Genomic DNA, 25527 nt, shown 5'->3' on the forward strand with positions numbered 1-25527 from the left:
GAAATATTAAACTCATTAAATTGCAAAACATTTTATGATTTCTGAGGTGAGAATACTGAAGCCATTGAAATGTGGCTTTATATGTCAATGTTGCCCATCTCTGTTTCAATAATTTAAAGGCTGCAATGATTTAACTTATTTTCAGGTAATGCAATTTATTTGTGTATTCACTTCCATCTTTGCCTAAATTGAAACAAAACAAAACAAACATAAAACAAAAATAATTACCCTTTAATGCATCCTGTCTTAGTCTGTTGGGCTGGCATAACAAAACCCCATTAGGCTCGCTGGCTTAAACAACAGAAATTTACTTTCTCACACTTCTGAGAGCTGGAAAGTCCACGATTAAAGTACCAGCTGATTTTATTTCTGGCCAGGGTTCTCCTACTGGCTTGCAGATGGCTGCCTTCTTGTGTACTCACATGCCAGAGAGGGAGAGGTCTGGTGTCTCTTCCGATTCTTACAAGGGCACCAGCTTCATCAAGTTAGGACCTGACCTTTATGACCTCATTTAACCCTTATCGCTTCCTCCCTTTCTCCAAACACAATCACACCTGGGATTAGGGCTTCATCATAAAAATTTCAGGGGGCATAATTCAGTCTCTAGAACTTTCTTAAGTCTGAAATTTATTTTTAATAAACTCTGCAATGCTTACCTCCTATTCCACATAGTCCACGGCCATTGTGACCTCTTCCCTCTTCTCTAGAAAACTTTGTTTTAATAATAATTCATCTTGTGGAAGATAAAGATTTTGATAATAGTTAGGAAAATGCACCTGAATAGCTACGATTTATTTAGCAACTATATATAATATGGCAATTACCCTGTGTCCATTGCCTCATTCAAACCTCGTTGCTTCTCTATGACATATATTTTATTCTGTACATTTTCCAAATGAAGGACCTGAGGCATATAGAGGTTATTGACTTTTGCATAATCTGAATCACTCTTCCAGTGATCTTTCCTCATTATTTATTTCTAACATGTTAAAAACAACGAGAGCTCTCAACAATGTTTACAACTCTCTTGGGGGAAATTATCTGCCATATTGTTACATTTTTCACTTTCAAACTGATGCTACCAGTGTGATCATAGTCCATTTTAAAGATGCGAATATGTATTATATCTTCAATATGGAAGTTTTAGAGATCCTTTTTTGTATTATTTTAGTTATTTAGTATATATAAAGAAAGTGAGAGAGAGGTGGGTGATATTTGACCGTCTTCTATTAAAACATATGTCTATGTCTAAAGTTTAAAAACTCTGACCTTGAACTTTCTCCCAAGAGGCTTTGGTTTCCAGGAATATGCTTCTGACGGTTCCGCTTATGATGTGGTGAAGTTGAATCATTTTCAGCATCAATATGTGCCCTGAGATAAATGGCTTTTCTTTGTTTTAAGACAGTAGAACATGGCTTGTTGGTTATTATTTCTTTTGGTGAAATTTTTTTTTTCTATTCACTGGCACTTCTCCAGTGATTCATCCTTCAGGAAAAGAAAACTTGCCAACTCATTTTTGATCCCTGTAGTTTCTACTTTCACTCCCAAATATAACAGTTGACAACTTACATTGGACAATTGTACATCCATAGGATACCGAGGCTTGGAACCCACACCTCAGTAGAAAAATCAAGCAAAAACTTTTCAGTGTAGGTGGGATTAATCACAAATGAAAATGCAAGTTTTGAAATGAGTCACCATGACATTTAGACCCATCTTGGTACAAAATAAGGTAAAAATAAAAATGCAATAATTTTAGTACCAAAAAAAGAAAAAATAGATGCTACCTACTAATTTATAAAAATTGACTACTTTTCTCATTTTCCAGAATTCAATTATCTTGAAACTTTAGGGCTCTTTTCCTCTCAACATAAATCTTGTGATACACTATGAAAATCCTGTAATGAGTTGAAATACAATTTTCTAAAAAGCTGGATGCATAAAGTTAAGTATTTTCTAGTGCAATGATTAGACTTGGTTCCTAGTAATGAAGTGACCTTGCCTATTGGCTTTGGTCTACATGCCCAGGACAAAACAACAACAACAACAACAGAAACAAAACAAGGAAACATAAACAGAATAGAAACCGCTGTATCTCAATAGCCGCATCAATCTGCTCGAGCTGACATAACAAAATTCTTCAGACTGAGTGGCTGAGACAACCGAAATGTATTTTCTCACAGTCCCAGAGACTAGAAGTCCAAGATCAAGGTGCCAGCATGGTTAATGTCTGGGGAGGTCTCCTCCACAGGGTTGCAGATGGCTGCCTTCTTGCTGTGTGCTCCTGTGACCTCTTCTTTGTGCTGTAAAAGAGAGCAAGCAAGTGAGCTCTCTGGTATCTCTTCTTACAAGGACTCTAATTCTATCAGATCACAGTCCTGCCCTTATGACCCCACTTAACATTAATTACATCATTAGAGGTGCCCTCTCCAAATACAGTCACACTAGGAGTTAGAATCTGAACATATAAATTTGCGGGGAAACAAATATCGAGTCTGCAGCAACAATCAATGATAAAATGCGTATGTCCTTCATTTAGGAGCCATTCACTTTGTCTATTGTATCCGCATGCAATGTTCTGTGCTCACCATGTATACTTAGATGCACATGTGCAATCAATTCACCTTCCTACAGGACAGGAGAACAAAAATGATTTTATGTCATATGAACAACCACTTGATAATTTATAGACAAAACTACCTTTGTAATCCTAGCCTCTCCGAGAACTCTCGGGGATTTTAAACAGCTGCCTCTGTCTCTAACTTTGTGAAGGTGTGGACAGCTATATTTGTCCTCTTAAGAAGTAAAGAAAATCATCATTTTTTTTTTCAAAAGTGTTTACAGCACAGATGCTTCTAATAAAGAGGTTTATGTTTACAGTTGGCCTGATGGCAGGCTAATATTTGGTTTGTTAAGGAAACAGAAAGATGGCTCAAGCCCTGAGCATGGGAAGTAATGATGGGAGGCATCTTTTCTGAGAAAGTATAGTTAGATTCAAATCCTACCTTTTTTCTAATTAATTGGGGAAACATTTCTTTAGTTTTCGTGATTCCTCTTTTGTTCCTATACATGCTATTCTCTATACAGCAGCTTGAGTGATCCTTGAAAAATGGACATCAGACCATGCCATTCACCTGCTCACTGGCCTCCAATGTCTCCCCATCACTCTATGACTAATATCATTATTACTGGCCTTTGATCCTGCTCTGGTCTGGTTTTTGCCTTTCTCTCAACCATGTCCACTACCACTTTTACCCCTCCTAACTTCAGTGTCGACACATGCTGCCCTGCTATTTCTTGAATATGTGAAGCTTCTTCCAATCTCAATCTTATCTGTCTTCCTTCTTAGAATATAAATAGCGAATTCCCTAGCACCTACTAATATTCAGCCACCATGTATTAAAATGAATGGTGAAAGAGCAGTATTACAAATGAAAAATATTGAAACCAAAGCTGCTATCCAAATGTTACTATCATTATAATGCTTTAATTAGAAAATTTCATTTAGGAGCCATTCACTTTGTCTATTGTAGCACAGACATTTTGTTAACCTCCAGCTGAAATAAATATATATTTGAAGAAAGTGTTTTATTTGCCTTCTATTATTCTTTAAGTAGAAAATGAATAGGAGAAGACATAGATTCTATTATTCTTTAAGTAGAACATGAATGAGAGAAGACATAGAATGAATCGGTTCCTTTACATATTGTATTTTATCCCAGAAAATTAGATAATAATACCTCAAGAGAGATTGGAACTTGTTTACATATGAATCTATATTAACATCAAAGAAACTGCTGAGAACTGGAGGTTGCTTGCTAATAAATGACAGTCCAGATCATTACTCATGGCCAAATCTTTTCAGTCATGCTTCCAGAAGAATAAACCAGTATTAGGAAACAGGACATTTTGATTTCATCTTGCAGATGCCATGCACAAAAATCTTAGTTAACATTGATACCAGCCTGGATAGCCATGACAACACAGCTAACCGAATCTATGTGCTTTTTGACACTTGTGTGAGCCTTGTTTTGGGATGTGCAGCCTAAGCCTTCCTTCCACTAGGTAAAAATAAACTTTCCTGACTGGCTGGTGTTTATGGGTATCTTCCTTTGGCTGCTTAGATTCCAACTGATTTCTTCTCCATCTCCTTAACTACTGGCTAGCTTTTATTGGAAAAGTTGCCTTCCTCTCCTATATCCTATTTCCTCTCCTGATTCTGTCTCCACCCTTTTCTAACCTACTCTCTGTCCTGACTGTGTGGACTATACCCCTGGGGTCTTTTATCCTTTGGTTCCCTGTTGGGTTCAGCTCACTGGAGGAAGAGAAAAGAATAAGAACTTGACCTGTGTTTTCCCACACGCTCCCTGCAGGCCACTGGTTCTGGTGCTTTTCTCTGCCAGAGGCTACAGTGGTGGCCAGACCATCCCCTTCTTTTATAATTTCCAATAACCCCACGGCCCACTTAACTTCTTCAGCCCTGTGAATAGAAGTAGCCATGTGTGGTGTTACAGCCTGTTTCCATCTAATTGACTTATTAAATTATCCTTAAATTACTCAATTCTAGTGTATCTACAGTTTTCTACTAGGATTATGATTACACATTTACTCATCACCAAGGAAAAAAAGGTAATTTGCATATATCTGCTCCAAAAGGGCATATAAATTTGGAAAAAAGCATGATGGCCTCACAAAGTAACATAGCAAAAAGGTTAATAGTGTACCTTCAAATCTTTGTTCGGTCTTTTGTTAGTCATTTAAAATTATGCGTATTGTTTTCCTCTCTAACGTCAGTTTCCTCACCTGTAAAATGTGGAAAGTAATAATTTAATTATTCTATCTAGATATCCAGCCTAACATCTAGATAGAATAATTCTATCATGAAATTATTCTGAAATATGACCTATATAAAATATATAGCAAAATGTCTGGCAAATACTAATTGTATAATGGTAAACTACAGCTTTAAATTTTCCTGATCTTACTTTGCATTAGAAGCTCAAAAAGCTAAAAAGTTACTTCAAAATTTACCAGAAAAATAAATAAAATAAAAGCTGAATTGGAATTTGTGAGCTAGGGGTACAGAGAACTGTATTTTAAAAATGACCCTCCAGCTGGGCATGGTGGCTCACACCTGTATTGCCACTTTGGGAGACCAAGGTGGGAGGATTGCTGGAGTGCAAGAGTTTGATACCTAAGTGCAATAAGCTATTTGATCTTACATTTGTCACCTCTTCATAGCAAGATAATGGCCCCAGTTCCAAGCATGCCAATTACATTTGAATAATAAAAAAGTAGAGTCAAGCAAAGATACAGAACTTCTACTATAAGTTACCCTCTCCTTTTATCAGCGTAAGAAAACATTTCAAAAAGTCTCTTTGTTGACTTCCCCTAAAACCTCATTGCCTAAAATCAGTCTCATGGCCTTCTCTCATTGCAAGGCAGTCTGGAGAAGAAATTGCCAAGCAATTAGAAATGGGAAGATCATGAGAGGCTTAGAAAATTCTTTATTTATCAGTGCATGTTCTGGGGCTACCCACATTAATACCGTGAGCAAATCAAGACTCTGTAGTAGAAAGAAGAAAGGAGATGGAGAGAAATAATATCTAGTAGGTAATGAATCATGTTTTCCACAGTCACGTTATGAAAAATAAATGTGATTTTATATAATGTGCATAGCATGGTACCCTTTAAACAAGAAAATGATTTAAAAAATCAAGAATCCATACTTTGTAAATGAAATTGGTCATTGAAAAAACACTTCTGAGAAGTAAAGCAATATACATTTTAAAATAAATAAACAATGACAATATCACCAAATGTGTTCCATTTACCAAATGCACTTAGCAAAGAATGAGCACATGGTAAGTATAAAATACAAAGCACTGTGCTAGGCCTTTAAGATATTTGAGCTGATTTATCCTCTCAATGCTACTATGGCATGGGATGCTGTTAACTCCTTTTACAGAGGAGGAAATTGGGAACAGTGAGATTAAGTAACTTGCCCAAAATTGTAGAGCCAGTCAGTAATGGAGCTAGGATTCAAACTCAGCCTGATCTCAGAATCTCTGTTCATACTTCTACTGATACGTCGTCAATAGTACTCTGTGTTGAAATGAACAAGGACGGTAGAAATAGATATGAACAGAAGAGCATAATAATCATAATGGAATTTAGGAAAATGAAAGTTGCTAGACAAGTCTTTCTCACGTCTACGGCAGTCGTTTCTGGAGATTGTGCCCTGAAGCAAGGTGGTTACCCATTTTGTCACTCTAAGGAACACTAGGTAGTGGGATCTAACTAGTATCACTACTCTGTCTCTATATTTATAAGCCCTCAGATTTTTATTTTGTTTTCCCTGGAACTGTATCTCCAGAAAAACATGGTAGCTTATGGTCATTCTGCACGTAGGCCAGTTATATAACTAATTGAAAAAGCATTTTCATATTTATGGATTAAATTACGTTGTTTTCAGCAAGGTGTCTAAGTTCTCCAGAGACTGGGCTGATAGGAAGCTCTGTTGCCTAGAACTTTCCTCAAAAGTTCTTTCTTATCACCCATGACAGGATACCTTGTCATTTTTTTTAATGTCTCATTCCACATTTCTTTTTTCTTTCTTTCTTTCTTTTTTTTTTTTTTTTTTTTTTTTTGAGATAGATTCTCACTCTGTCGCACAGGCTAGAGTGCAGTGGTGCAATCTCGGCTCACTGCAACCTCTGCCTCCTGTGTTCAAGCGATTCTCCTGCCTCAGCCTCCCGAGTAGCTGGGACTACAGGTGCCCACCACCACGCCTGGCTAAATTTTTGTATTTTTAGTAGAGATGAGGTTTCACCGTGTTAGCCAGGACGGTCTCGATCTCCTGACTTCATGATCCGCCCACCCCAGCCTCCTAAAGGGCTGGAATTACAAGCATGAGCCACCGTACCCGGCCTCCACATTTCCTTTGACTCATACAGTTAGAGTAATTTCAAAGTTGTAATTCTGACTTATCGAGTCCTGTTCTTCCAGTTGGAGTACATGACTGCATTGCCCATGGCATAAGCATCTCTGCATTTTATTACACAATGTGTGGGCTGGGCTGGAAGTCAAGTGCTTTCAAATCATCATGAAGTATGTCATTATGAATTTACAAGTCTTGGGTTTTCATACCTTTCCAATAAACTTGCTTTTGCCTGTGTAAATGTTAAAACTTGGAAAGAAAGTGCATCCTAGAGCTTATAATTTACTAATGCTCAATCAAATCTGCATATTTGGGACTGAGATCATCTAATCAGATGCTTCCCTAGTGTCATAGTTATATAAATACACATCAATTAGAAAACCACAGTCTTTATCCATCTATATCTCAACATCTTCAATATTACTTCCCACTTTTCTGGAGTCTGTGAAATGCATTTTTTGGTTCCCATACTCATTGCATTGGCAACTTTGGAGGGTGGTTATGTCTAATTGCTTTGCTTAACATTGTTGGCCAAATTTTTAATAAGAAAATCTGGCACATCTTGACAAATCATCTCCTTTTATGGTACCAGCTTTCATGGTGCAGCTGGACAACACTTTTCCAGCTGCTGCTTCCCACTGCAGAATTCAGTAGTGAATAAAATGCTTCCTAAGGGCAGTGTCCTTTAAGCATCCTTTAGTAGGAAAATGCCTTCATCATCATTACTATTAAAGCAAATCTATGTGAAAACTGAGTGAAACTCACAGAAAACACAGCTGGCTCAAGAGTGTCAAGTGTCAATAATTTTTTTATTTTTATTTTTTCTGATTGTGCACATTGTCAGTGATTTGTTTTCTAATTCGACAAGATTTACAAAACTCTGTTTCATCATAAACCTATCTGCTTTGAAGTAAGTAGAAGATAGCATTGTCCTCACTATTAAAACCCATTTCTTTCTTCTTTTCTCTATCCAGGTCAACTTTACCCAGACTGATGAAGTGAATACTATAAACAGAGAGCCAGGAATACATCCCGGAGCTGCTCACTCTCATCTCCATAGTCCTTTTGGGTCCTTCTCTCTCAAAATTATTTGATTACTGATGAAATCCTCTATAAATGGCAAGTTCCCTCCAATGAGAGTTTCCCTTAAGTGCTGAGCCATCAAGTCAAATCCAGTAACAAAATTTTATAAGTGTAGTTTTCTATCAGTTTTCATTTTAATTGATAATAGCAAAATAGACTGCAATTTTTAAAAATTACAAACTATATATAATTTTAAAGTTATTCCATTTTTAAGGCCACACCTGTATATTTTAACAGCATTGATTCTGGCATGCCCATTTTGTCATGTTTTGGAGAACCATAGACATGGCTCCTGCATATGTATACTATAGAAGCTTAAAACATTGAACTGTCTGTGCTGAGAGAACGTTTGGACAGCTACTCTCTTCCCATTTTAATTATCAATTTATTCAATTATATACCAATTAATATTATTTTTAAGATATATTGTAAAACATATGGATATTTGTTTTAAAATGTATTGGTGAACAGAGGAGGGCACTGATGAACAGAGGAGGTTATTGTAGAGGTAGAATCATCACTTAACCTCTGGCTTAAATAAAAAACTATCATTTGGTTTTTCCAAAGACTTTAACTAACTTGAAAAAAGAACCAATTACAGAAGTCCTGAAATCCCTTACAGTTTTTCTTGTGTTTTACAAAAACATCTGTAAACCCAATAATTGTTCTAAGAAAATAGAAGGTTCATATATAGATTTTGTAGTCAGATAATCAAAATTCTAATCCAAAGAAGTGTTTCTAATGCTCTCCGGGTGGCCTTTGACAGGATACATGACCCTAAAAATTGCAAATATTTTGATATTTCAGTGAGATAAAGTGTGTCGTGGTTCATTTTATGTGTCAACTTGACTGAGTTGAGAGATGCCCGGATAGATGTTACAGGGTCATGTTTGCTGTGTCTATGAGGATGTTTCCAGGAGAGATTAGCATTTGAATCAGTAGACTGAGTAAAGAAGTTTCACCCTCACCAGTACAGGCCTGCATCATCCAACCTGCTGCAGGCTTGAATAGAAAAAAAAGGCAGAAGAAGGGTGAATTATTATCTCTTCTAAAAAGGCGACATCCATCTTCTTCCCCACTCAGCTATCAGAACCCCAGGTTCTCTGACCTCTGCACACAGACTGAATTACACCACTGCCTTTCCTGGTACTCCAGCTTGCAAACAGCAGATTGTAGGATTTCTTAGCTTCCATAATGACATAAGCTGATTTCCGTAAGTTTCCGCGTAAGTTCCCTCTAATGTCTCTATCTATCCTTCTATATATGCAGTCATCTCTTGGAATTTGTAGTTTGCTTCCAGGAATATCCCATGGATAACAAAATCCAAGGATGCTCAAGCCCCTTATATAAAATGGTGTTGCATTTTCATATAACCTATGCACAACCTTCTCTGTACTTTAAATCACCTCTAGATTTTTTTTTTTTTTTTTTTTTTCAGAGACCCAGTCTCTCCCTGTTGCCCAGGCTGCTCTCAAACTCCTGGGCTCAGGCAGTCCTTCTGCCTGGACTCCCTAAGTACTGGGATTATAAGCGTGACGTACCACACCCATCCAGATTAATTATTCAATTGAATACCATGCCTACATGTTATTTCTTTTGTGTGATATTTAGCACATGACAAATTCAAGTTTTGCCTTTTGGAAATTTGTAGAATTTTTTTTTTTGAATTTTTTTAGAGCCTGTTAGTTGAATCTATGGATGTGAAACCTGTGTGTGTGTGTGTGTGTGTGTTTGTGTGTGTATCCTATTATTTCTGTTTCTCTGGAAAACCCTGATGGACACAAAGTGCATAAAGTAGCTACCATAGTTACTGACAAAAAGTAGGTACTTAGAATGAGTATTTTCTCTGTCTTCCTTCTAAATTAGAACCAAAATAAGCAGAGCTAACTCTAACCAATGTTATCTGGAAGTTGCTAAGTACATCAGTTATCAAAGATATGAATGAAAATTTACAAGCATCATCATCCATGAAAAATGGACACTCTCTCCATTTGCTCTGAGTCATTGTAACAGAGACAAAGCCCTCTAAATCTCAACGTCTCAGGCAGCAGGTCCCTTGGTATCCTGGATCATAGGGAAATGTAGAAATAGTCATCTAAATTACCAAAACGTGAACATATCCTAAAACTGCTGGATTAGTTTTGCAGCTCAATGAAATTTCACCTTTTTGACTCACAGCTACTTAGAAAAGTTTTTCATTGCTGTTTGTATTATTTTGGTGGGAGATGGTGTTTGTTATTTTTGTTTATTTGTTCTCAGGTAAAAAGAAAAACTGAGTTAAATAATATTATAAATTCAGGACTAGAGGAGTGATATGACGTATGTCTGCATCTGTAGTTTCTTGGTGGTCCCAATCTTGGAAAAAATCATTTCTGTAAATAAAAATAATCTGAAACAGATTATAGGGAAGTACATCAGAAAAATAAATACAGAGTGTCTGGTATGATTTGAGGATGTTCATTAGCGGAGCTGTACTGAAAATATGGTGGGAGAATTGTTTGTTTTTATGTAATTTTACACAGTTGTGTTTTTGTCTAGTTTGATCAATGCTAGTCTTGTATCCTATGTCTCAGTTTCTTTGCCTATCAAGTGAGTCATTGACCATATGGCTTCAGCTCCTAGTTTGGCTGCTGAGGAGTAGGAAAAAAAATAGTCTTGATAAACATGCAGACCATTTAGAACATAAGGTTGACATAGCTGATCCCTCCAGCACAGTTTCAAGAGAACTGGAACTTTGAATCTATTTTATTGAAAACCAAATGTACGCTTTCCTCACTATGTGCCTAGTTCATCTGCAGGGCCCTTCAGTGCCAAATTAAAATTGCTTACTATTTTGTTTGCATTGCTTATATAAGTGTTGCAATGATTTGTTGTGTTGGGAGAAGACATCTGTGTATCCAGGGGATCTATGCCTTTCTGTCTTTACTCTACCCAATAATTTTACTGGGCCTTAAACACTTTTCTCAATATCTTTGTAGTTATTGTTCTGGTAATTTTGCAAGGCATATTGTATATATTGCATTACTTCTTCCTTCTTTGGGATTTCTGACTGGCTTCATAACAATATCATCCTATTTCAAGGATTACATTTTAGATCTAAATGTTAGAAAGGCATTAAAATTCTTGCTTTTTAAAGAGGTGGTAAAATATTACATTGGTATTATGGAAACTACTATCTTCCTTCATGAGGTTTCTACTCACATTTTTGCTGCTGTTTGTAGTTTAGTACATTTAAGTAACTAAATTTATATTATTATTATTTTATTTTATTTTATTTTATTACTTTTTTGAGACAGAGTCTCGCTTTATTGCCAGGCTAGAGTGCAGTGGCACGATCTCGGCTCACTGCAACCTCCGCCTCCCGGGTTCAAGTGATTCTCCTGACTCAGCCTCCCGAGTAGCTGGGACTGTAGGTGTGTGCCACCATGCTCAGCTAATTTTTTTTTGCATTTTTTGTAGAGAGGGGTTTCACCATGTTGGCCAGGATGATCTTGATCTCCTGACCTTGTGATCCTCCTGCTGGGAGGATCCCAAAGTGCTGGGATTACAGGCACGAGCCACCACGCCTGGTTTATTATAATTATTTTAAAATTAGTGATTTTTAGTTGATTAAAATGATAAACATTGACCAAATTAGAGGGTGATTCTGCTTCTGGAAAACTAATTGTTGAATTGGCAGAGCAGAAAATTAAAAAAAAAAAAATGTTTTCTATTAACTCTTTCACTGAGTTTTTCTTAACCTTGAAATAACCAAAGAGGACTAGTCACATTTTAAAGACAAAAGAGGCAATAGCTCTCTGAATCCAAATATTTTCATTTCTTCTACCAGATCATATTTCATTTGTTGAACATTTTTGAGTGTAGTTGATTTTTTTCTTTGCCTATAGTAAACTTCTGTATGAAAAATAATGTTTTATTATCTTTGTATAGTAAACTGTATCAAATTTTGTAGTTGTTGCTTTGAGTCACAATTAGGAAATACCTCACTCCTATGTTACAAAAGAGTATAGCATGCTTTCTTTGACTATTTATTTGAGGTTTTTGTTCATTTGTTTTTATTGTCAGATATCTGATACATTGGAATTTATCCTGACACGTTATTTGAAATTTGAACCTAGTTTTATCATTTTTCAAGTTAATATTTGGACACCACTTAATATGGTTTGGTTGTGTCCCCACCCAAATATGATTTGAAAACGTAGTTCCCATAATCCCCACATGTCATGGGAGGGACCCGTGGGAGGTAATTAAGTCATGGGAGTGGTTACCCCCATGCTGCTGTTCTTGTGATAGTGAGTGAGTTCTCAGGAGATCTGATGGTTTTATAAGGGCTTTTCCCCTTTGCTCAACACTTCTCCTTCCCGCTATCATGTGAAGAAGGACGTGTTTGCTTCCCCTTCCACCATGATTCTAAGTTTCCTGTGGCCTCCCCAGGCTGAACTGTGAGTCAATTAAACATCTTTCTCTTATAAATTAACCAGTCTTGGGCAGTTCTTTAGAGCAGCATGAAAATGGACTAATACACCATTTATATACTAAAAAATTAGCCCAATACTACCCTTTGGTTTGAGATTCTAATTTTAAAATATCTTAAATTGACATATACACTTGGATCCATATCTGGACTCTTTGTTATGTACCATTGGTCTGTTCATGATCCAGTAAAATCACTTAGTGAATCGGATGTGATGACTCATTCTTGTAATCCCAGCACTTTGGGATGCCAAGTCCAGCAGATCACTTGATGTCAGGAGTTCAAGACCAGCTTGGCCTACATGGTGAAACCTCGTCTTTTCTAAAATTACAAAAATTAGCTGGATGTGGTGGCACATGCCTGTAATCCCCGCTGCTTAGCTACTTAGGAGGTTAAGGCAGGAGAATCACTTGAATCTGGGAGGCACAGACTGCAGTGAGCCAGCATCACACCACTGCACTACAGCCTGGATGACAGAGCAAGAGTCCATTTCAGAAAAAAAAAAAAAAACTTAGTGAAGCAAGCAGTTGCTCTAAGTCCCACTGTTACCAACATGAAACATTTAGCCAATACAGGTATATAAATTAATCATCAATTAAATCTTTGACGAATGCCAGAATTATAAAAAAAAGTAATATTCTAAATCCTTTAAATTACAAAGGTACTTATATAAGTCACAAAGCAGAAATATGAAAATTAATGCTTCCAGAATATCCTAACACATTGAAATTTATTAAAATAAATGCTGAATCCAGTTTGTTTGGTCCTATCCAATTATCTCCCCAAATTTCACAATTAAGGAAATATACATAATCTGTCTACATTCTTTTGTATGCCTATGTACTCAACAATGCCTATAGTATGTTTTTTAGAAATAATTTAACATATTTTTAAATTTCTATAATTCATATATTTAAACTGCATTGAATGTACACAATGAATTTTGTGAGATGGTTTTTAAAATAACAAATCTGATTTTTGTGTACATAGCTTCTGGAATTCATCACATTTCCCATTTCTTATTTGTTGATTTAATGTTACCATTATCCCCTTCAACATTCTTCCACTTTTAATTTTATTTGGTTAAAAAAAAATACAGCCATAGGAGATAGCACCTACCAAAAACCACCTATCAGCTGTAGGAGATAGCACCTACCAAACACCACTCATCAAACTTGGTTATATGTGATAATATATGTGTATACATATATATTATATACACATATATAATCACATATAATCACACGACATATCACACATATCACATAACACAATATACACATATATAATCACATAGAACTACATACATGATATATTTAATATATATAATTTATATAATACATTTGCATATACTATGTATATAAAGTATATATGTATATATATTTGTGTACACATATTTATATATAAAAATATATATGTGATACATAAAATATATAGTACCTAGTGTTTTCCAATATACTAGTGCTGCACATAGGTAGATATGAGTCACCATTCCAGCTCTTATCTCTAGGTTTGTTCTGCCTTCCCTTGTTTGACTCAATTGTAGGTGATAGGAGTCAGTGATTTTAGGTTACTTCCCTGGTCTACCCATACATACACACACACACACACACACACACACACACACACACATACATATACACACCCCTTACCCTTTGTACCAGACACTGAACTATTTAAAATAAAACCTATCATACACTGGGAATACTAACTTTAAGAGAAGAAGCCTGCTGTCGCCACTCTATACCTTCTGAGATACAATGTTGTGTATATTTCTTCTCACTCCTCTCTATCTACACTTTAACCAGGATTTATGTCCTGTGAGCCAGAGGGCAGAACTGGCAGGCTGATCTACTTAATTTCAATGGCCCTGTACATTATTAGGTTTATGATCCCCTTAATTTTAAACTTTGAATGTCTTTAGGTAGGGCATAGTCTTTCCATTCCTTGTCTTATGTCAGTCTTCTTCACATATTTATTTAACTACTCTGACCTTAATGTCATCTGCATTTTTTAAACTTCTGCTGAAGCTTGTTTCCTCCTGTCCATATTTTGTAGTTTTAATCTATTTACATTTAAGTGTGTGGTCAAGTAGGATGACGATCTTCATCCACCAAATATACCTACAAACATACATACAGTGTGCTTTTTTTTTTTGAAGCTGTATTCTATCCCAGCAATCCTCGCTTTAATGCAGAACCATGACTTCAGGCACAACTGACACCCAGATCTTCCTAAAAGCCTCATCACTGTGGCCCATTCCATTATGTGGACCAGTCCCCCCAGTCTCATCTTCAGCACCTGTCTAAGTCTTTGAGATCTGAACACCACTTTGCACACTGTTGGTCACTGGTACTGTTTCGATGGGAACGATAATCTCTTCTGTTCTAATTGCTAAACCTTAATCATTTTAGTTTAGTTGTGACACTCAGACAAGCCACCTCCAGAGTGCATTGCTTTTAGGCCAATGTGTAATGAACAGATAATTGGGTTTAAAGTGAGAAAAATGAAAATTAAAAAAGTTTCTCTTATCATTTTCATAAATTGCTGTATTAGTCTATTCTCACACTGCTATGAAGAAATATCTGAGGATGGGTAATTTATAAAGAAAACAGTTTTAATTGACTCAGAGTTCAGCATGGCTTGGGAGGCCTCAGGAAACTTACAATCATGGTGAAATGGGAAACAAACATGTCCTTCTTCACATGGTAACAGGAAGCAGAAGTGCTGAGCAAAGCGGGCAAAGCCCCTTACAAAACCATCAGATCTCGTGAAAACTCACTCACTATCATGAGAATAGCAGCATGGGGGTAACCACCCCCATAATTCTATTATCTCCTATTGGGTCCCTCCCATGACACATGGGGATTATGGGAACTACAATTCAAGGTGAGATTTGTTTGGGGACACAGCCAAACCATATCATTCTGCCCCAACCCCTCCCAAATCTTACGTTCTCACTTTTCAAAACACAATCATGCCTTTCCAACAGTCCCCCAAAATCTTAACTCAGTCCAGCACTAACCTGAAAGTTCAAGTTCAAAGTCTCATCTGAGACAAGGCAAATCCCTTCCATCTATGAACATGTAAAATCAAAAGAATGTTAGTCACGTCTAGATACAATGCATATATAGGCATTGGGTAAATACACCCATTCCAAATGGGAGAAATTGGACCAAACAAAGGAGCTAGAAGCACCATGCAAGTGTGAAATCCAATAGGGTAGCTATTAGACATTAAAGTTTCACAATGATCTCCTTTGACTCCATGTCTCACATCAAGGTCACACTGATGCAAGAGATGGGCTCCCATGGTGTTAGACAGCTCTGATCCTTGGCTTTGCAGGTTATAGCCTCCCTCCCAGCTGCTTTCATGGCTGGCATTGAGTGTCTGCAGCTTTTCCAGGTGCACAGTGCAAACTGTCAGTGGATCTAAAATTCTGGGGTCTGGAAGATGGTGGTCCTCTTCTCACCTCTTCTCACTAGGCAGTGCCCCATTGGGAACTCTGTGTGGTGGTTCTGATCCCATATTTCCCTTCTGCATTGCCTTAGCAGAGGTTCTCCATGAAGGTTCCACCCCTGCAGCAAACTTCTGCCTGGACATCCAGACATTTCCATACATCCTCTGAAAGCTAGGTAGAGGTTCCCAAAAGTCAATTCTTGACTTCTGTGAACCTACAGGCTCAAAACCACATGTAAGCTGCCAAGTCTTCAGGCTTGAACCCTCTGAAGCAATAGCCTGAGTTGTACATTGGCCCCTTTTGGTCTGGGCTGGAACACAAGGCACCAAGCCTCAAAATGCACAAAGCTGCAAGGCTAGGCCTGGCCCACAAAACCATTTTTTCCTCTTAGGCCACAAGGCCTGTGATGGGAGAGTCTGCCATGAAGTCTTCTGACATGCCCTGGAGATATTTTCCCCATTGTCTTGGTGATTAACATTTAGCCCCTCATTACCTGTGCAAATTTCTGCAGCCAGCCTGAGTTTCTCTGAAGAAAATGGGCTTTTCTTTTTTATAGTGTCAGGCTACAAATTTTCCAAACTTTTATGCTCTGCTTCCTTTTTAAACATAAGATATAAATTCAGATCATCTCTCTCAAGTTCCAAGTCCCACAGATCTCTAGGGCAAGGGCAAAACACCACCAGTCTCTATGCTAAAGCATAGCAAGAGTCACTTTTATTCCAGTTTCCATCCATTCCTCATCTCTATCTGAGAACACCTCAGCCTGGATTTCATTGTTCATATCACCATCAGCATTAGATCAAAGCCATTCAACAAGTATCTAGGAAGTTCCAAACTTTCCCATATCTTCCTGTCTTCTTCTGGGCCCTCCAAACTGTTCCAACCTCTGCCTGTTCCCAAGTTCCAAAGTAGCTTCCACATTTTGGGGTAAAAAAGCAGCACCCTACCATCTGTGGAACCAATTTACCATATTAGTCAGTTCTCATGCTACTATGAAGAAATACTCAAGACTGGGCAATTTATAAAGAAAAGAGTTTTAATTGACTCACAATTCCGCATGGCTGGGGAGGCATCAGGAAACTTACAATCATGGCAGAAGGCACCTCTTCACAGGGTGGCAGCAGAGAGAAAGAGTGCAAGCAGGGGAAATGCCAGATGCTTATACAACCATCAGATCTCATGCGACTCACTCATTATTATGTGAAGATCATGGTGGAAATTGCCCCCAAGACTCAATTACCTCCACCTGGTCCTCCCCTTGACCCTTGAGAATTATGGGGATTACAATTCAAGGTGAGATTTGTGTGGGGACACAGAGCGAAACCGTATCAATTGGAAAGGTTATTTAAATTTATTCTGCCTTAGTTTCTTTCTCTGTTTAATGGAAATAATGCCCATATGTTCTAATTTTGTTGAGAATTAAATGACACTGAGCAGTCGTATAATAATATAAAAATAACAACCATTTATATTATACACCATTATGTTACAGTTGCTTTACATTATCTCCAGGCCTAAAACAACAATAAAAGCCATTTTTTAGATTACATATTTTTGCAAATGCAGCTCAGGAAATGTAACCAACATTTTCCAGTCTCCCATCAGTACTTAATGCCAAAATAAGGATTTAAACTAGAATACCTGGCTTCAATGACCACAAGCTACTATACATCATATCATCCTGTCTTTAAAAGTTGGGACTTGTCACATATAAAATGCTCAATAAATGTACATTTTTATTCCCATTATATAATATGAATATTGTAGTCACAAAAAATTTTTAAATGTCTGCATACTATCAAAATTATGAATTCTTTGAGAGCAGGTATCTTGACTTATTCATAATTACATCTCCCAGAAAATTAAACACAATATCTTCCATATAGCTGATGTTCAAGAAATATGTTTTGAGTTGTTCTCAGATTCTGACATTCAATTTTGATTGGACAATAACATTTAATCCATTAGTGTGTGATTTTACGTGCATAAATTCAGAAGAATGCTTGACGAAGAAAATATTTTAATAAAGAGTATATAATCATGATAATCTGGATAAATTTAATTTGTCAACTGTTGTTAAATAATTATTTATAAGTAGTAATTAGTAATACAACCAAAATGTAATTGAATTTTTTCAACAACATCATTAACATTAAATCCCAAATAAATATAAAATTCATATAAGTCGTGGTTAGAGTAACTGTTTTTTATTCTCTATCACTTTCTTTCAAAGCAATTCAGTAGTTAACTTGATGAGATGTGGGAGATGCTGTGTGGGGGCATGGAAAAGTGGGACCTGCTGTTCTGCTTGATTTTTATAACATTCATATACCTTTGGAAGAAGATAACCTCACATATGGCTTCTTTCTATGATAAATAGCTGTCACAATAATGACAGCCAATGAGCCAAAATTCCAGCCACAGCCAAAGTCTGTGTAGATGTGTTGCTGAACCAGTCCTCCTTGGGACAAGTCACTGAATGACTTCATAGACAGGGCAGTCTTACTGCAGAAGTCATTTCTTTACGAAAAGCTATCCATTCACAGTGGGCTGAAGATGATGACTATCAATCACCTCAGTGAGCTGCTATCACAGAGGCAAATTTCTACCCAAGTAATGACACATATATATTCATTCTCAGATAAATGTAATTGTGATTCTTTGCCTAGTTATTATGGAGGTAAAATCCCCTGGTGATACAAAACACATTTAAAAACATAAATCTTAAAATCAACAGCAGTTCCCCCTAAAACATCCCTACTGTATATTTGTACAACCTTGAAAGACAGTGAGATGATGGTGACTTTTCTTAAAATCAACATTTTTTACTGTTTTCATTCCTTTAATGCACATACTCATCATTTATTTGTATATCTGGTAAAGATATCTGCATTGAATAGAAAGACAACATTAATTTCATCCTCTTTAATTAGTCTGATTAAACAAAAGAAACTACCAACCAGTCTGTTAGATGGAATGTGTCGATTAATAGAATTTTAATTAGTATAAATAACACTTTAAAGAAGAAAAAGAGAAATAAAACGTTTTGGATTTACAGAACCCTTTTCAATCATAAAGGCATTTTCCAATCAGTAAATCCATCTACAAATGTTTGTAGAGACAGCATATATGATGCTCAAGACAACACGATAGATGATGCAAGGAATACAAACAATTACACTCTGTGTTACTATATATGATGTGGTCACTAAGCTAAGGACAATATAATGTAGTTTGTCCATGGTTAGAGAGTAGCTGATAGTGCGGAAGTAGTAATTTAGATTCTGAGTATCTACTATATGTCAAACACTTACCCATATACTCATATTTTTTTCTTTTTCACAGTAAATCTTGCCCAGTGTACATCATTTCTGTTTTTGAGATGAGGAAACTCAGACAAAGAAAATGTTAATGCCTTGTCTCAACTTGCACACTGGTCATAGGTGGAACCAATACTTTAATGCAGAATTTTATTATTTTAAAGTCCATATTCTTGCTTCTACTGTATCTCATTTTGTGGTTGTAAAACACAATGGATGAAAATATTAGCATACCCAAAAGTCAATGTACCATGATATTCTATGTTAGGAGGAAAAATGAGGAAATGTATTTTTTCCTGGCTAAAATGAAGTCCTGGCGAATCATAACATTCACCAAAGCATTCCCTTCTCACAATTTTTTGCCTCTTTGCTTCCAGAAAATTCTTCTAAAATCTGACAGGCAAACCTGTTTAGTAGGTCACACCTATATATGGACATATCAGCTACTGTCTGTGAAATTTTAGAGTTAATAGAGATCCCCTGCCATATTCAACTTTGTAGACTCTACAAACTGCATCAGGATATTCGCAAAGATTCTGAAAAGCAACTAATATTTTATTATAAGTTTATATTTCAACTTAGAAAAGTACTGGATAACTTAAAAAATGAAAGACAAAAAATATAATCACCCATAATCCTTTCATTCTTCTTTGTACAATCACTTTTACATTATGCTGGGATATCTGATATGTTTTTATTTTTGTAGATCTGGAACATTCCAGTGGATCAGCAGTTGTTTAGCCTGTATTTTATTTTTTCCATTTTTTTTTGTATTATAAATAATGCTGTTGGAAACATCCACACACAGACTCCTCACCCCATCATAGCTTCATATATTGGATCATTTCTTAGAGAAGTTTCAGAAAAATAATTACTGAGGCAAATGGACTTATAAAGAACTGGAAACTTATTTAGCCTCATGGTTACTTAAAAGAATTACACAATTTTGTCAACAATGTATGAAGGAATCAACTTGATCATAGCATCCCTATGAAACAAATTATTGGTGTTATAAGCACTGTTCTTCTACTTATATTTTATCATCATGTATTTTTTCTCCAACCCTCTTTTCTTTTTATGTAGATCTGAGTGTCTACTATGAATCACTTTCTTTCTCCCTGAATCACTTCTTTTAACCACTTTTGAAGTGCAAATTTGCTAGCTAAGCATTCCTATTACTTTTTGCTTGTCTGAGATTGTATTTATTTCTCTTGTACTTTTGAAATATAATTTCACTGGATATCATATTCTAGGTTGTTGAATATTTTCCTCCAATACTTTAAATATTTCACTTTATTTTCTCCTCACTTCTGAAGTTTCCGAGACATCTAATATAATTCTCATCTTTGCTCCTGTAAAGGTGAAGCGTACATTTTTCACCTCCTCTGTTTTTCTTTCAGGCGTTCTGTTTGTCCTTGGTTTTCTGCAGTTTGAATATGATATGCCTAGGTGCAGTTTTTTGGTAATCATCCTGCCTTGTACTCTCTGAGCTTCCCCAATCTGTTGTTTAGTGTCTGTCATTAATTTTGGAAAGTGCTTGAATAATGTTACTTCTAACATTTCTTTGTCTCTTTTATCTGTTCTTCTGGTGTTTTAATAATGTATTTATTACACCTTTTGAAATGTCCCACAGTCTCACAGTTCTTGGATATATTGTTTTTTAGTTTAGTGTTTTTTTTAATCTCATTGCATATAAGTTTTGTAAGTTTCTATTGACATTTCTTCAAGCTTACTGATTCTTTTCTTGGCCATATTGAGTCTATCAATGAGCCTATCAAGGGCATTCCTCATTTCTGTTTCAAAGTTTATTTAACATATTAATCATAGTTATTTTACATTCTTTTCCTGATAATTCCAACATCCATATCATATTTGAGTCAAATTTGGTTCCTTCTTTGGTTATGTAGAGTATATTTTGGCTTGCCTCACTCAAATTCCTTATTTTTATTTATTTGTTTGTTCATTTAAGAACTAGGCATATTATTTCAGATAATAGGAACTTAGATTTAGATAATTAATCCTTTATTGATAGAGTTTACTCTAATCTGGCTAGCAGTTGGGCTATCTTTAATGTTAGCTGTAGCTTCAGGTGCTAGAAGTTTTAAATTTATTTTGTGTTTTTGTGTTTTCTCCTCTATCAATTTTGGACTTCCTTTAGCACACCTTCCTATAATCTTGAAGGTATTTCAGCTATATTCCATTATCATTATATTAGGTCCTTTTTGGTATAGTGGTGATAAGGTATGAGGGAGAGAAATTTATTATTAATTTCATTCCTTTAGTTGGCTTGTGTTTCTAGGCCACGGTCTTTACAAGTTTTGGTTTTTTGTTTGTTTGTTTTGTTTTTGTTTTTGTTTTTGTATTTAAGCTCTCTCTCCCCTCCCTTATGTGAGGCAGGATGGCCAAAAGGTCTTGACTGGATAAAAGGATATATAGAGAGAAGAAAATTGCAACAGTAAGATTGATAACAGAGGTGAACAAAACACAAAGCCCTTGACCTCAAGGATCTGCCATTATGGATTAGTATATTTATGTATATTTAGTATATTTTGTTCACATAAAAGCCATTAGCTATTTGATTGCTAGATAAAGGCATCAACTAATACTGACATTGGTTCTAAGAATAAATGTTATCTTCTTGGTTGGTTGAGGGGCAGTTATTATTTTCCTACACTCTTTCCCTGAGCATAAGTCTTCAAAGCTTTAGAATAAATCAGAGCCATGTGAGAGGAGGTTGAGTCTTGAATTGTCATATGAAAGGACCACTCACCAAGGAGAATCACCTATGGTACTGTGACCTGAGGAAAAAGTACACTTAAGCTATTGAAAGTTGGAATGTTTGTTTCAACAGCTAATGTTACCTTAAAAAAATATGATGTGTTGAACAAATTGCTGTCATCAGCTTTATATTTAATTTTACGTGGATAAATATTCCAAATTTTCAATACAGATAGTCACTTTTCAAGACCTATGTACTAGCATTCAATGTATTAATGAAGCATGCTTCTGTGTAAATTTTAACCTGGCTGTCTTTCTTTGAGGCAATCTTTGGTGACAAAGAAAATGGAAATGCTATACGGAAAAGCATGCTAGAATCAAGAGACATGATTTCTGGCCTAGGCTTTGTACTTACTGTCTGTGTGACATGGATGAACTAATTGTGTCACTGGATTCAGTATTCTTAATTAGGAAATAAGAATTCCAATGTCCAAAAATACAATTATCTATTAAAGAATTTTTAGAAACTATAGAAATAGAAGGTATTCTTGAGATATTAATAACCTAGGCATATGAGTATAGGCTTCACCTAGAATCTTTGTTTCCCACTTTGTAAGTCTAATATAAATATGACCTAATTATATATTTTAGGAGACAGAAGCATTAATAGAAAAAAAAAGTCTTATTTTTTTCACTTTTTGGATTCTGTCTGCCTGCCTGCCTGAATATTTAGGTCATTCTGATGGACAATTTCATCCAAAGACTATTTACATTTAATAGATCATGTAGGAGTTAATCAGGTTTGGAGGCAGAGTTCTTAGGAAGGAATTCTGGTAGTAGGAGAGGCAATAAAACTCTATTAAAAATCCAAGTGTATTTTCTAGGGAATACATATTTAGCAATGATCACTTATTTTTATCTCAGCTGCAAACATCAGGTACATATCAGGTGAGTGCCAGTAGCCAAACTGGATCCAGAGGGAATGGGGCTAAGAACGGGTTTGTTTCACAGTCCATGGCATGAAAGATCAAGGTACCACGTAAACAGATTTTGTGCCTTTTAATTATTATGTTTTCTTATCCAAACATAGCATTGGGAAACATTTTGTGTATTTTCATTTCGTTTAAAAGCCCCAGTGAAGTGTTTCTGACATACTGCTCTGTGAATCTTCTTAGTCATTTGGAGTAAAATAACTATTTTTCTCTGCAAGTAGCATCTTGTAATGTTTCTGAATTTGACATTACATTCATCATCCTTTTTTCCTATCTCTTAAACACACACTTAAATTCATATGGTCTGTTTCAGTTTTTAAAAAGCACAACAAACAAATTTAAAAAAGGAAATGCATTTTTAATTTTATTTCAGAAATGAAGGCTCATGTGATGCATTATAATATATTCATTGTCTATTGTTAGGAGAAATATCTAGTTTATTTACTCTAGGTAGATGGCAAGTAAGTGTTAAATGTGTATTTTTTTATTTTTCAAATAGCAAAGAGACATTTTGCTTTTTTAAAATCATTGTTTTTGTATCCACTTCCTGCAAGCATGAGCTCAGGAAGTGATAAAGTTGACACAGTTGCTGATGGATTTCTTACTGGCTCATGCCAAGTTGTTTCCTGGTGCCAAACACAATGGATCAGGAAATATGGCACGTGACCAGAAAAAATCTTATTGTTTTACATAAGTTTTCTCTTTCAACTTATGGCTCCAGACAAAAATGTCCCAGAATATTTAAAAATTTCTTCTCTGTGATAAATGATCCAACAAATGTTCAGATAATGATCTTCATGCATAGTTTTCTTATTAGCTTAACACTTTAAAGAACCAAATTATAAAATAGTCCAAGAAGTCCATGATAACACTTTTCAGAACAGATTAAACAAAGCATATTTTAGAAGAAGAGATTTGATCAAATAGAAAAGCAAAAAAGGCTCAATATTATTCTCATGAATTTAATTTGATAGAAGTAATATTTATTCAATTCACTTATTAATGTTGTATTAATGATGACAAACCATGCATTTTCAGTGGATCTAATAGATCTCCAGGGTTTTGCTTCTAAGAAATACTTTGTAGAATGCTAAATTAGCCATCTTTTTCATATGACCAGTTGATGCCAAACACTGCGTTTTCTTCCCATCCTTATCCCCACAGATTTAGTCATTTATAAATAGTATTTTCTTCTTCTGCAAAGGTCCTGAACTTCCATGGCTTTTTGCCTGTTGTCTTATAGTTAGTATCAATTTGGCTTACATATTCACACAGTATTTTTTTTCACACATTGGAATTAAGGTTTTTATGGGAACACTAATCAACCAAGTCAGCAGCCAAATGCAGTCTTTAAAATTATTATTCATGTTCCATAAGGGTCTTTTCAAGTACAAAGACCACATCATTATTTCTATGTGAGCTGTTTAAATGAACATTTTAAAAATCAACTCTGTTGGCTTAAATACTAAAACTCCATTCTCAGCTGTCAAGACATAAATTTATCATGAACTGAGTTGGAAAGACTTTGGCCTCTCCTTGAAGAAACATACTACATGGATTATCCTCTCAAACAAACATGTTCACTGAACAACCATCTTGTAAATGTTTAGGGCTACTAACTACTCAACTCCTGGGTACAGGCTGCTTTGAGAAAATAGTGAAAACAAATAACCAGCAAACAAACAAACATGCCAATGGGTTAGTTATAGCTCTGCTGGCAAGGCTGAACAGTAGTTCAGATTCACAAATTTCCAATTATATCCTGATATTATTTTTCAAGAAGTGGAGTGAAAACAGATAAGCAGAGAAACACAACAAGAAAACTACTTTAAAACTGAGAATTTGGCCAGACATACTGGTTCACACCTGTAATCCCAATGAAGCAGGAAGATCACTTGAGACCAGGAATTTGAGACCAGCCTGGACAACATAAAGAGACCCCACGTCTACAAAAAATTGCTGAACATGGCAATGTGCACCTTTAGTCCTCGCTACTTGAGAGACTGAGCTAGGACAATCACTTGAGCCCAGGTGTTTGAAGTTGCAGGCAGCTATAATCACACCACTGCATTCCAGCCTGAGTTACAGACAGAATGAGACCCTGTCTCTAAAAAAAATAATAGTAATACGGAGAGAGAAAGAGAGAATTTAGGGAAAAGATGATATATGATGATGATAAGTGGATAAGTAATTGGGCTAATTTAACAGAAAAATCTTTCTGTTGGTCTGCTCTGAAATCTAGCTTTACTATGAAATAACTTTTACAACAGAGGTATTCAAAAAATCAAAAGAAAGGATTATGAATTAACAATAATAATGAAAAAAGGAAACAAGATAGACAATGGGGACATAAAAAATGACAGGGAGAGATAGGAACAGGAAAAGAGACAAACAGGGGAGGGGGGAACTAATATCCTCTCTTTTTATGTTTTTCTCTTGTTCTTTCAGTGACTCAGATAAGATTCCCCATTTGGCCAAACAATTGTGTTGATCAGCAGCTGATGATGGTGACCTAGAAATGACCGAACTCCTAGGTAGAT

The 25527-nt window shown here is 35.8% G+C and overlaps 1 long non-coding RNA gene across 3 annotated transcripts in view; it reads right to left on the reverse strand.

Moving 5' to 3' along the window:
• LOC105370603 (uncharacterized) overlaps positions 1-25527 on the reverse strand; it is an 82165-nt gene that overhangs the window by 10607 nt on the left and 46031 nt on the right. For all 3 annotated transcript variants that reach the window (XR_944097.2, XR_944098.3, XR_944099.3), the window contains exon 2: positions 1270-2303. This is a non-coding gene — a long non-coding RNA (uncharacterized LOC105370603). The remainder of the gene's footprint in view (positions 1-1269; positions 2304-25527) is intronic.

This window comes from Homo sapiens, chromosome 14 (genome assembly GCF_000001405.40).
Source record: "Homo sapiens chromosome 14, GRCh38.p14 Primary Assembly".
In the NCBI taxonomy this organism is placed as follows: Eukaryota; Metazoa; Chordata; class Mammalia; order Primates; family Hominidae; genus Homo; species Homo sapiens.